General features: G+C 34.7%; 1 protein-coding gene and 1 long non-coding RNA gene across 8 annotated transcripts in view; one reads left to right on the top strand and one right to left on the bottom strand.

Moving 5' to 3' along the window:
• Positions 1-14260, bottom strand: part of TET2 (tet methylcytosine dioxygenase 2) — a 133929-nt gene that overhangs the window by 6005 nt on the left and 113664 nt on the right. For 5 of the 7 annotated variants that reach the window (XM_024454103.2, XM_024454102.2, NM_001127208.3 and 2 more), the window contains 4 exons: positions 14030-14180; positions 11951-12040; positions 4052-4189; positions 881-1235 (listed from right to left, as the gene is read on the bottom strand). In XM_024454103.2, the coding sequence (XP_024309871.1) occupies positions 881-1235; positions 4052-4189; positions 11951-12040; positions 14030-14180 (734 nt within the window). Of the gene's footprint in view, positions 1-880; positions 1236-4051; positions 4190-11950; positions 12041-14029; positions 14181-14260 lie in introns of those variants that run through there. The other 2 variants (XM_047415839.1, XM_047415840.1) reach the window with 2 other exon arrangements.
• Positions 1-14260, top strand: part of TET2-AS1 (TET2 antisense RNA 1) — a 181528-nt gene that overhangs the window by 79083 nt on the left and 88185 nt on the right. The window lies entirely within an intron of this gene.

Below are 14260 nucleotides of genomic sequence, written 5' to 3'. Positions count from 1 at the left end.
TTTGTAGCATAATCTACATGTAGAACCCCTCCTAAACCACAGACTCAACATGTCTAAGGAAAAATGTTTCATTCTCCCCTCTCTCTCTCTCAATCATATTTTCAAACTTACTTATTTCAATAAATAGTACTGTTTTAGAAACCTAAAACAGTAGGTTAAGTTTAGGTTTAAAACTTTGGGGTCATCTTTAAACTTTTCTTCTCTTTCATTCCAGTGTTTTGTCACCAATGTATTTTCTTTTTCCCATTTTGGAAGAGCTCATTTGCATCATTTTGCTATATCTTTGCTACTAACCAACAAAATTCAAGGTCTTGTTACCTCAGTTCTGGTTTACTGTGTTTATCTCCAAACTATTAGCTCCTCTACTAATTTGGCCTACTGCCAAATTACAATGAATTTCATCGTATCACTTACCTGTTAAAAAAAGTTGCTGTTTATTATAGAATAAAATCCAGACTTTTCCATGTTTTCCATGTTGATGGTGCAATATCTCATTACCATCTCTGAGAACAAAGCCTGGCCCTTGCTACTTTAGAGAAGACTCTGGCACAGAACTAAGACCATGATTGATATAACTTTCCAAAATTAACAATGTTCATTTTACAATAAGAGCACATGGACACATGGTGGGGGAGTGGGGACAACACACACTGGCGCCTATTGGTAGGGGTGCATCAGGAAGATGCTGGGCTTAATACCTAGGTAATGGGTTGATCTGTGCAGCAAATCACCATGGCACATGTTTACCTGTATAACAAACCTGCACATCCTGCATGTGTACCCCAGAACTTACAAGTTGATGGGGGCAAAACCAAAATAATTTTCATTTTTAATATACCACACAACACATTTATCTACAAATGCTTTACATTAAATTTACCTGCCAACTGTTTAGCCTGGCTTGCGTTTTCAGTTTGTTTTGTACGTGATGGGGCTGACTTTTCCTTTTCATTTTTATTTGAGCTGTTCTCCAGGGAGGAAAGCTTTTCAGCTGCAGCTTTCTTGGCTTCTAGTTTCCTTTGTCGGCAAGTCTTGACTGGCTCTGCTAACATCCTGACTTTTCGCCGAAAAGAACTCAGTACCTGAATGGCACCACTCCGTTTTTTCTCCTCCTGAGCTTCCACACTCCCAAACTCATCCACGTCAGAGACTTTGTATAAAGGCAGAACGTGAAGCTGCTCATCCTCAGGTTTTCCTCCAAATTCTCGATTGTCTTCTCTAGTGAGAGTGCATACCTGGTAGGGAAGTAAGACATTACAGCCTCAACTACAGGTCCCAAAGAAAACGTGTGTGTGTGTGTGTATCTTTCTCCTCTCAGTATTCAGATTTGTGTTGGTGGCCTAGTTGATCCAGATCAGTGACATATATATTACCATAAAACCATCCTACCTGTTATTAATGAAAATAGCAACAAAATGGTACAGGGAGATAAGACAAATTGACATTGCCCACCCACCCTTTCTCTGAGTCTATCAGGAACAGTTAGCTGTGGTGACCCTTGTTCTTCACATATGTTTCTGTCTATGGGAAGAAGCAACACTCCCCCAAAATGAAGCACTCTCTTGCTTTTCACACTTCAAAAATAGATGTGCTAGATGTGAAGCCTCTTCAAAAACAGGCTAAAAGTTTTTTCTACGAAATGACTTCCTCTGTTTTTGGTAGTATCACATTTGCCTCATCTCATACTTCTGAACACAAATTTCATGTCTTTTCACATACCTGACACCTAACTCTCTCTGTTTAAGAAATTTCCATAAGATAACTGAAGTAAAAATATAAAAAATGAAAAGGTAAAGATTTGGCTGATACAGGTAATATGCAACTTAATACTATTTTCACTCTCTTGTCTCTCCTCCTTTGTACTCTGTCAAACCTAACTTTCTCTTTTCTTCATTTCTTTTCTGAAATATGACCATATAAGTGGGTACTCTGAAAAGGGTAAGGGGTGGAGGGAGGAAAGCTACCTCTGTTGCTTTGATAATTAAATGGTACTTTTTGCTTTAGTTACTACAATTACACTAGCTTTGGTAAAAGATTATTTGTGGTTTTTAAATACTAACTTTTTAGTATTTAGTGTTTTTGATCAATGGAGACAATGTGATCTAATGTGATCTAAAATAAAATTAGAAGATATTCTTGAGAGAAATGTGATCACAATGGACTGACTTTAGAAATAACTTCAACATGAGATGGTATTAATGAGCCTGTCACTTTCTGCACAGAAGTCTTCAAATTCATGTCTCTGAGCACCTTGTTACTTTTCCCATACATATTTAACCCTATTCAGTTCTTATCTAGTGCTCCTTTCCATTTTACTTCACAGAACCCATGCTCTATCAGAGGCAAATTCTTCTTGATTCTAAACATCCTTCTCATCATCTTACTCTCTGTCACCTTCCTGGAATGAAACATGGTTATATTAGGATGCACTATAGCCCCAGTTATCATTTACTACTTCTGCTTTTCAGAAACTAGCATAGCCTCCTAATAATGAGCAGGTGCTGAGTACATGATTAGTGATGATTTTAGATGTTGGGGTGGTTGGTAGGCCTTGTGTTTGTTCTTCTGGATCAGAAGTTAGGAAACCAGAACCTACGGCTAATGTGCCTCACAGCTTGTGTTTGTATGGCCAGTAAACTAAGAATGGTTTTTACATTTTCAAGGAGTTTTTAAAAAACAAAATAAACAAAAAAACCCCACCAAACAATGTGACAGAAATCCTATGTGGCCTGCAGTCCCTAAAATATTTACCATCTTGCCCTTTATAGAGAAGAGTTTTCCAATCTCTGATCTAGAACATTAAATTAATATCTTCTCTGCTTCTCAACAAAAACTTCACACCAGCTTCTTCAAATTACTTCAGCTATCATCTAATACCTCCATGAATGCTTTTCTGCCCTAGAATATGACTTTAATTCCTGATATCTGTTTCCATATTCTCACTGACCATCTTCTTCAACTACACCTACATCCATGTTGATAATTCATTAGGTTGATTGATTCATAGTTTTTTCAACAGAATATTTTGTTCTTTATCTCTACTCTGGGTCACCCCTTTACATGCAAAATTATACCCTGAACCCTTTGTTGGTATAGAACATATATATATATATATATATATATAACATGTATCTATTTTCCCCTCACCACTGCCTCCAATTACAAGACCGATCCATTTTACCCACTGTAATATGTAGTCAGGCTCTTTTGCACTGTGAATCTTTTACAATAGGTTACCACAGTTACTGTGACAATGATGATGTGTTTCTCATTTATGCTTCTCTCTCTGTAAGGTGAATATGCTTCTCTCTCTGTAAGGTGAATGGCTTGTATTTGGCTTTTTGCTTAACTGATTACAATCTACCAGGTAACTGGCACTGAATTTTGAGATTTTCCTGGAAGTTAACTGTAACTGGCAATGCATAGTCACTGGTTTAGATTAACACCAAGGATTTCCATGATTCTCATGTGCTTGTCAACACAATTGACAGGAAACTAATGTGCCAACCTATCATGAGAGTGCTAGTTATGCCAAAGCAGGTCACTTTGCAACAGGAATTCATTCATGAAAATATTGCTGTCCAGTGAAACCTGCAGACAACATATTACTCTAACCGAATGCTACTAAATTCCAGTGTTCTGCTCCTCAACATGAGATGCTGCTGATATGGTCTGGCTGTGTCCCTACCTAAATCTCATCTTGAATTGTAGCTCCCAAAATTCCCATGTGTTTTGGGAAGGACCCAGTGGGAGGTAATTGAATCATGGGGGCAGATCTTTCCCATGCTGTTCTCAGGAGAGTAAGTCTCATGAGATCTGATGATTTTATAAAGGGGAGTTCCCCTGCACATGTTCTCTTGCCTGCCGCCATGTAAGATGTGACTTTGCTCCTCATTTGCCTTCAGCTATGATTGTGAGGCCTCCACAGCCATGTGGAACTGTGAGTCAATTAAATCTCTTTCCTTTATAAATTACCCAGTCTTGCATATGTCTTTATTAGCAGTGTGAGAACAGACTCAACAGCTGCTAAGCTGTCCTCAGCCCAACTTACCAATGTGCTGCCATTCTGCATGTTGTGCAAGTCTCTGTGGGCATGAGCACAGAAGTCCAAACATGCAGTGACCCCTGAGAATGGACGGCCTTCCTTCAGACCCAGACGGCACTCTGGTGCTCTGTGTTCATATTCAATCTGAAAAATAAAAGTGTGTGTGAATGCGAAAGTAGTTAGTTTTACTCTTACACCGAAAACTCACTAGTATTTAGACCATTTAGAACTTTAAAAAAATGTTTTGAACTTAAATATATATCCAGAAACAAAATGGAATGACACAAAATAGAGCAAATATCTTGACATGGTAAAATTTTTATTTTATAGTGTTATTGAGGCCATAAAGTATGCTATTTGAGTTTTGATATATATTTGTCACAACCAAAATAAAGTACATATTCATTACTCTTAAAAATTTCCTCATGCCCCTGTATAATTCATGCTTCCTGCTTTGTTCTCAGACAACTACTAATCTATCACTACAGATTTTCATTTTCTAGAATTTCATATAAATGGATTTATTTGGAGTTAATTTTTATAAATGGTGTGAAATTAAGGGTCAAGATTACCTTTTTTCCCTTATGGCTTTCCAACTGTTCAGATACTACTGGATAAAATGGTTATCCCTTCCCAATTGAATCATCTTTGTTAAAAATCAATTGACCATATTATATATGTTGGGTCTACTTAAGGATTCTCTATTCTGATCCACTTGTGTATAATGGTGTGTATGTAGGTATGTCAATATCAAACTTTTTAAAAATTTTATTTATTTATTGAGACAGAGTCCCACTCTGTCACCCAGGCTGGAGTGCAGTGGCACGATCTGGGCTCACTGCAACCTCTGCCTCCTGGATTCAAGCGATTCTCAGGCCTCAACCTCCCAAGCAGCTGGGACTATAAGCACGCGCCACCATGCCCCAGTAATTTTTTGTATTTTTATTAGAGATAGAGTTTTGCCATGTTGGCCAGGCTGGTCTCAAAACTCCTGGCCTCAAGTGATCCACCCACCTCGGCCTCCGAAAGTGCTGGAATTACAGGCGTGAGCCACTGCGCCTGGGCAATATCAAACTGTCTTGACAGACAGTAGCAATTATAGATTTCAGTAAATCTGAAAACCATGCAATATATAGTCTCAAATTCTGCCCTTATTTTAAAATATTATTTGACTATTCCAAGTCCTTTGCATTTCCAAGTATATATATTTTACAGCCATCTTGTCCAATTCTTTCAAAAAACCTGCTGGGGTTTTGAAACATCATGTATTGAACATATTGATTAGTTTGGGGAGAACTGACATCTTAATAATATTTAGTCTTTTGATCCATTAACATAGTGTATCTCTCCAGTTACTGAAGTTTTCTATAATTTATCTCAGCAATGTTTTAGTTTCCAGTATATAATCTTATACATTTTTGTCAAATGTATGTCTAAGAATTTTATATTTTGATGCTATTTTAATGGTTTATTTTGATTTATTTATTGCTAGTATATAAAAATACACTTGAATTTTGTATTTCACAACTTTGCTAAATTCATATATTAATTTCATTTTCTGGTAGATTTTTTGAGACTTCTTATGTAGACAAACATGTCATCTGCAAATAAGTACAGTTTTATTTTTTCCTACCCAATCTTGACTGCTTTATTTATTGCCTTACTGCACTTTCTAAAATTTACAGTTTGATGTTGAATAGAAGCAGTTGGTTAAAAATGGACATTGTTGTCTTGTTCCTTATCTTAGGGGTCAAGTATTAGTCTTTCACCACTAAGTATAGCATTAGCTTTTGGCTTTCCATTTATGTATTTAATAGGTTGAGAAAGTTTCCTTTTATGAATGTTGAATATTATCAAATGGTTTTTCTGTACCTACTGCAATAATCATATTTTTTCCTGTTATGTCTTTTCAACATCATTTTTTATGTTAAAAATATCTTTTTAATTTATTTGTATCTTTATATTTAAAGTGGTTTTCTTGGTTTTTGCTTTTTTTTCAATATCACAAGCTCTGCCTTATAATTAGGGGTGTTAAAACCATTTACATTTAATGTGGTTGTTGATACAGTTGGGTTTAAATAAACCATCTTGCTATTTGTTTTATTTTTATATTTATCTTTTTTTGGTCCTATATATTTTTAAAAACATTTTTGGATTGATTTCATTTTTCTGTCTTTACTGGCTGATTAGCTATATACTTTTTTTTTTTTTTTTAGTGGTTTAAGGTACACAGTGTACTCTAACGTCTCACAGTTTACAGCCAAGTAATATACCCAGTCCACATATCGTATAAGTACTTTACAATAATATACTTTCAATTCCTCAGCCTCTGTGCTACTTCTACGTGTTATAAACCTCATAATACATTGTTAATATATTTTTAAGATAGCAAGTTATCATTTTTTTAAAAGTCTTTTAACCATGTTTACTATTTTTGATACTGTTCATTTCATTATGTTGATCTGGATTTCTGTCTGGTATCATGTTCTTTCTTCCTGAAGGATTTCGTTTAACATTTTTAAAGTGCTAGTTTGTTGGTGGTGAATTCTTTCAGCTTTTGTATGTATGTCTGAAAAAATATTCTTTATTTTGCTGTCTTTTTTGAGAGTTGTTTTCATTGGTTATATATTTCTGGGTGGAGAGTCTTTTTTCTTTTAGTATGTTAAAGATGTTTCTCTTACATCTTCTCTCTTGCCTTTTTCTGAATGAAGTCTCCTGTCTTATTTTTTCCCACCTAGTGTAATATGTCCTTTTTTCTCCATTTGCCTTTCTGAGTTTCTCTTTATCACAGATTGTAAGCAAGTTGATTATAAATTTTTGATAGTCTTTTTTTATGTCTTTGTTTTTTAATCTGGGGTTTGCTGAGCTGCTGAGATCTGTGGGTTCACAGTTTTGAACAAATCTGAAAAAAATTTGGCCATTGTTTCTTTAAATATTTTTCTGTCTCCCACCTCCTTCTGGTACTCCAATTACACATATATTAGTGTAACAATATTGGCTAATAGGTCTTTTATATATTCATTTTTTTCAGTTTTTTCTTTATACTGAAAAATTTCTATTACTATGTCTTCAAGTTCCTTAATCTGTTAATTCCGCCTAGTGTATTTTTAATCTAGATATATATTTTTCACTTCTAGAAGGTCATTGTAGGGTATTTTAATATCTTCTGATCTTTCCTTATCACTCTCATGCTTTCCTCTGGCATTTTAACATATGAAATATGATAGCCATTTTAATGAACTTATTTACATATTGTATCACATATGTCAGTTCTGGGACTATTTTTATTGATTGATTTCTGCCTGTTCCCCAGTAAAGGTTATATTTTCTTTTTTCTTTGTATGCCTTGTATTTTCTGATGGAATGCTAGACTATAAATTTTACCTTGTTGGTAGATTTTTTTTTTAATTTTTGTACTGTGATGCAGTTAAATTACTTAGAATCAGTTTGGCCCTTCTATGTTTTCATTTTAAGCATTTTTAGATGAGGTCAGAACTGCCAAATTTACTTCTACTACCAAGGCAATACAATTATGAATAGTATTATGAAGTCTTCTCCGTCTGGCTGGTATGATCAAGAACTATTCCAGGTCCTGTGTGAGATCAAGGGATTATTCTGCCTGCTTCTTCTGATGGTTCTTTCCCTACCTAGCCTTGGCAGTTTTTTCACATGCATGTGCTGTTTAATACTCAGCTGAAGACTGGATCAGAACCCTCTGCAGGTCTCTGGAGCTTTTCTCAATAACACTCTCTCCTCTCTGATATTCTGAATAGTGAACTCTCGTCACCTTGGCCTCTCCAAATTTTGAACTTTGTCTCCTTAATACAGAGATAAGGCTGGGTGTGTTTGGGTTCCTACTGGCTACACTGGAGCCTAATACTCTCTTCAGGAAGTAAACTGGGGTATTTATAGGTTCACCTTTTTACTTCCTTTCTCTCTGGTGCCACTGTCTCTTGAATTTCTTATTCTATGTCTAAAAACCATTGTTTCATATATTTTGTCAGTTTTTTCTTAAATGTGTAACGGCATATGTAGTCTCTGTTTACTCCATCATGGCTAGAAGATGAACTTGCATTAGGATAAAAGTTTGTGGTGGCTTCATATTATTTACTGTTGGATTCATATATGTATTTGTCTATCTAACCTCATAAAACTTTGGCCAAAGGAAAATGAAGGTACCAACTACTCTTTAACATAGATGTGTGCTTTGTGGCCGTTCAGTTCATGCTGTGGTCTAGTTAGCTTTATTCTGTTTCTTGAACAAAAACAGATATACAATCAGCTAGAAATTACACTTATGCCATCTCCTAAAAAATACCATGCAGGATTTTGTGAATGAATTACTGGAAATCCATCTAAATGTCTGGAAGACAATTCTAAATGCATAACTTTCTCATGGTCTAAGGTTGTGCTGTTCACTATGGTAACCATTATCCACATGTGGCTGTTTGTGTTAATTTTTACATTAATTTAAACTCAATTACACTAGCCACGTATCAACTGTTAAATAATAACCACATGTGGCTAGTGCCTATTACACTGAACAGCATAAATAGAGAATATTTCCATCTTCATAGAAAGCTCTCTTAGAAGCATTTGTCTAAAATGTCATCTTCATGTATGATAAATAGCACACGATTTTGAGATTGACACCTGCTATTTCAGGTCTACTGTTAAATTGTAAGGCAGGCATAGAAAAGACAGAGCCAAATATATGTCTACTGGATAGACACGAAGAAAGGACATTTAAGTTGAGAAAACTGAAGCTCTAATTCCATGGGACTGACAGAAGAGATGCTGTGGAGAGCCAACTAAACTTTAGCAATAAGACTTCATGAAATCAAGGAATAAAGCAAGGAAGAATATTCAGATGTGAGAAATAGAGATACGACACTCAGTTGGGGAAAGGAGGTAAAGATCAAATAGTAGGTTTTATGACAGCATCTATAACATCAAATGGTCTTCCCGTGTACTGTGTGGAAACATCACATGGCTATTATTTTGATCTCTAAAGCATATTAACATACATGGATGAATATTACCAATAGTACCTACCATGCAATATAAAAATATTTTATCCATTCAGAAGCATCTCATCCATTTACAACTATTAATTGACTTAATTTATCTAGACATTACATCAACACATTTTCATATATAAATATTAAAACTTGAACATATTTGATGGCTTCATATTTTGGGTACTTAAGTTTTAGGAAATGTATAAAATAGTTTCAAGTATGAGACGGTCCATAATAAGAATCAAGGGAGCAAAAAGAACATCAATGCTTTGTTATTCTGCCTCAAGTAAAGCCATTTGATTAACAGCACCTATTAAAAATTCATTTAATAGAAAATGACCCAACTTTAAATCTAGCAACATAGACTCATTCATTTATTTATTTTTATAGCTTGATTTATTTCAGAAGTTCTTGCTGAGAATTAAACTTTTACGACAGTATCAAAGCACTCCTTATACTTTGTGATACTAGCTAAACAAAATAACAGTATTAATCCAACTATTAATAGTGTTTAAAAACTTTTCATAGATATTCATACACATTTCTAAAAACATAATTTGACATAAAATAACTTACAAATAGACCATCGTTTAATTTGCCTCTATTGTTCGAACCAAAAAAAAAAAAAAATGTTTGGGACGTTAAAGTCCACAGTGGAAAAGAAGAGTAGCTAAATCATTTTAGGATTAGTCCCTTGTCCATGTCTGCTGTGTAAACTAATCTAATCCCACGAGAGTCTTTAATATTATCAAGTAAATGACAGAGCACCCATCCCAGAGCCCCATACCTATTGCTCCTGTATACTCTGCTCTGGGTGTCTTCTCATCATTCCAGCTTTCCTCCATCCATCCATCTCCCTCTTTCACTTTTCCTACTACATTTCTTCTACTCCCTCCCCCAGTTCTTACTTCATTGGCTTCTCTTCCTCCACTCATGCCTAAAATGATTGATGGCTCCAGAATCCCATCATCAGCCCTTTGTCCTCTTTATAATCTCTACTTTGAAAACCTCCTTTCATTCCTATGTATTCAACTTTAAGTCCTGCCAGCATTCTGACTCTCAAATCTACAGTGCTAGCCTGAATTTTTCTCCTGATTCTCCATCTAATTAACCTAGAAGCCTAGCATGTCCAAAATTTTGATATCTTCTCCCCATCCCAAAACTTACTATTTCTTACCAATTTCTGATACTAGTTAATAGAACTACCTGTCCAAACTGGAAATTTGTTGTATCTCCAAATTCTTTTCTCATCCATACATCTAGTCACCAAGTTCTCTAAGCTCCACCTTAGTTAGTGTACATACTTAATTCCTGCCATTTCTTTAGGTCCTTAAAATCTCTTGCCCAATGATTGCAATAGCTTTCTTCTCTCTCTAATCTTACATAGATTTAAGTTATATTTCCCTTACTTGGCTTTTAAGTAAATTTTTCAAAATACGAATTACATCACTTTACCCTTCCATCCCCAACACACACTTGAAACAGCCCAATGGTTACCTACAGAATAAAGTTCAAAGATCTTTATTTAGCGTCTAAGGCTGCTTGTGACATCTAGTCTACTTTTGGGTTTTGTTTTTAAATTTTTTTAGAAATGTGCACATTCTTCTATTCCAGCTGGAACTGTGTAATTCTAAAATTGCTATTTATTTTATATGTCTCTGTCTCCACTAAAGAAGGAATTCTTTTGTTTTTTGCTTTTTTTTTAGAATCTGGGTCATCTTTGTCACCCAGGATGGAGCACAGTGATGCAATCATGGCTCACCGCAGCCTCAGACTCCTGGTCTCCTGGGTAGCTGGGATTACAGGCATAAACTACCGCACCCAGTTAAAGATGAATTTTTTTTTTTTTTTGAGATGGAGTTTCGCTCTTGTTGCCTAGGCTGGAGTGCAATGGTTTGACTTCGGCTCACTGCAACCTCCACCTCCCAGGTTCAAGCTATTCTCCTGCCTTAGCCTTCCGAGTAGCTGGGATTACAGGTGCCTGCCACCACACCCAGCTAATTTTGTATTTTTAGTAGAGACAGGGTTTCTCCATGTTGATCAGGCTGGTCTAGAACTCCTGACCTCAGGTGATCCACCTGCCTTGGCCTCCCAAAGTGTTGGGATTAAAGGTGTGAGCCACCGTACCCAGCAAAGACGGAATTCTTAAAGACAGACAGAGATGGCACTGCTCACCTTTATGTTCCCAGTGACTAAACACAGTGTTTAGTTTGTAATAGACTTTCACTTAATGCTTTTGTTGTTGATGTTACTGAAACAGTGAAGATTTTAGTTTTTTGCCTTCATGATGAGAGATTTCTGACCAAATCATCTACCTGTCTTAACTAGCTATAGTTTAGAATACACATGTAAAATAGAAAAAAAAAATGTTTTTGCTTGGTGTATGAAGTCAAGGTCAAACAAAAAAGGAAGATCAGCAAAATCTGACACATCTGGACCGAAATATATATACTTACAATGTTAGTATATGCATAGCTTTATGTGAATATTTGTAAGTCTATAAATTCTTATGAATACTCATTTATACTTATAGACTTGCAGTAAAAATAGGTAGTTAGAACCTATAGCTTGGGCCACATAATTTTGATGTAATCTCCATAGTCTGTTTACAGAAACAAAATTATTCATATGAGAACAAGATTAGTAGATAGAACAGCCTGTGACTTTTAGAAGCGCATGTCTTTACAGCTAAAAGACAAAAAAAATGTACTTTTGTATGGTATAATTTTTATATACTCGAAACTGAACACTGCAGTGGTTTCAACAATTAAGAGGAAAAGTTAGAATAATATTTAAAAATCATTGTTTCAAAAATATTTTTGGACATAGGTCATTAGTAACAAGTAAGTTGTTACAATTGCTGCCAATGATTATTTAAACTTACCTGATTATTATATGCATCAGGTGCAAGTTTCTTATATGTTGGTGCCATAAGAGTGGACAGGTTTTGCAAATGAGACTCCAGTTTCTCTTCCTGTATAAAGTGAATAATTCTACATATTAAATTCTAAGTCCATTTTCTCTATGTAAAAGAGACTATCAGTTAGATTATTCCCCTTACATTTTGAATCCCAAACACAATATATGGTGCCTTTATTACTAAATAAAGCATCTTTAAAACATGACTATCATTTAATTTCATATGTGCTAGTAAATATCTAGCTATTTGTTTTTTTCATAAGATTGATTTTCTAACTGCATGCAGATATTTTGCATTTTATACACACAAGCCTGTGCCAGGAGTAGGGTTAGGGGAATTAAGCCGTATGGTCTTAAAGAGGTCACATTTTTTAGCTACCAAGGAAGATGAACTATTAAAAGAACTTCTTTAGCTTAATTTGTCTATTTCTAATCTTTACATTTTATGTTTATAAAGATAGTATTTAAATAATTTGGAATGATCTCTCCATAGAGCAACTAAAATTTACTGGACACTTCAAATATGGATAAAATGCTTCAGAACTAGAATGCAGGATACATGAAAACCTTTGCAGAATTTACTTGAAAGGGGAAATGCTCAGTTACACCCCCACCTGCCCTGCTCATGAAGAACAGATTTTCCAAGTAATATACTGTTAAAAAATGGTAGGTGATCATATTTAGCTGCTCCATTTATACTTAGAAGTCTTCATTTCAGATTGATATTTCTCTAAAAAAAAAAAGTTGTGAGACATAACCACCTGGCAGAGATGTAAATTTTAGAAGGTGAGGAGGTTTCTGAACAGAGCTCTCCTACCCAACAGAGGCAATAAGTTACTTGGTATCCTCTGGATTTGGTTTACATGAAACCTCGTGAAAGTGATAAACATTTATCACTTGATAAAACAGTGGTTAAAAAAAAAGTTATCTGTAGAAAATTAAAATGACAGCAAGCAAAATCAGTACTTTTCATTAAGTTATTAATATTCATATTCTTGTCTTATGAAATGATGTCTCGCACATTTAAGTAAACTTTAATTATTGAAAACATCCTTTAAAAAACTTATACTGTGATTTCAGGAGTTTTTGCACTTGCTTTATTAACTGTGACTATAATAGTAAGTGAAAGCTTAATAAGGTTAACAAATTCTTCATTTAAAGGGACTCATCAATGTTATAATATCTATAGTATGGAAATATTTTAATTGTATTCGAAATTCAAAAGATAATTGTAAGTGTATAGAATGACTGAAAATGTGGTCATAGCTAAATGCTAAATATACTGAGGTTTTCTCATCATTCAATTAGTACGGAGACAGTCCCTGACCTATAATGGCTTCGTTTTTTTTTTACTTTAGGATGGGTTTATTGGGGGTATTAAATGGATTTTCATTTTACAACGGATTTATAGGAATGTAGTCTCCTCATAAGTCAAGAAGTATCTATACTCTAGACTACATGCCACCCAAAAGTTGTTAAATTTATCAATTTGCAAATTATAAGAAATACGTATTCTACAGACAAGACAAAAACCAATGACTTCAGTGAGAAATTAGTGTCCATTTATTTCCATTACAGAGTTATATTAAAATCTAAATGTTTTAGTTACTTAAATGCATTCATTACAGTGACTTTATTAAATGCATTCATTACAGTGACTTTAAATTATTTGAATCTCATTGCACATAAATGTGACTAAAAATGGTCTTTTCTGAATGTAGTACTTATGTAACTTCCATAATTCAGAGTCAAAATATGAAAAACATCACCAATTCTCATTTAGTTTTAACAATGAAGTGACACCCCTTTAAAACTTTGGAATTAACATAAAAGACCAAAGAGGAAGTTTTTGTTGCTCAAATTTTATCTATTATTTTGGCATAATATGATTATTATGCCAACTTAAAAAATAGTGTGTATCTACAGTTTGGGAAAAACTTTGATTAATAAGAGCTTACCAAGATATGTCATATTGTTCACTTCATCTAAGCTAATGAATTCTCTATGAAAAATAAAGCGATTATACATCAGGAAGTAAACAAACCTCTTTTGGGTCATCCCCAAGCAGCTTAAACTTCCTTGGGATCTTGCTTCTGGCAAACTTACATCCATTGTAGTACATGCTCCATGAACAACCAAAAGAGAAGGAGGCACCACAGGTTTCTGGATCCAGCCCCTGACAGGCGCAAGTTCTCCTGAAAAATCAAAAGACCAAATTCATTGCTATGGATAGCATTATATAGGCTGTGCAGCTGATATTATAGGTGTCTATATG

This window comes from Homo sapiens, chromosome 4, assembly GCF_000001405.40.
Source record: "Homo sapiens chromosome 4, GRCh38.p14 Primary Assembly".
Classification (NCBI taxonomy): Eukaryota; Metazoa; Chordata; class Mammalia; order Primates; family Hominidae; genus Homo; species Homo sapiens.
Note: the sequence above shows the minus strand (reverse complement) of the source record. Positions and strands in the feature narration are given on the sequence as shown.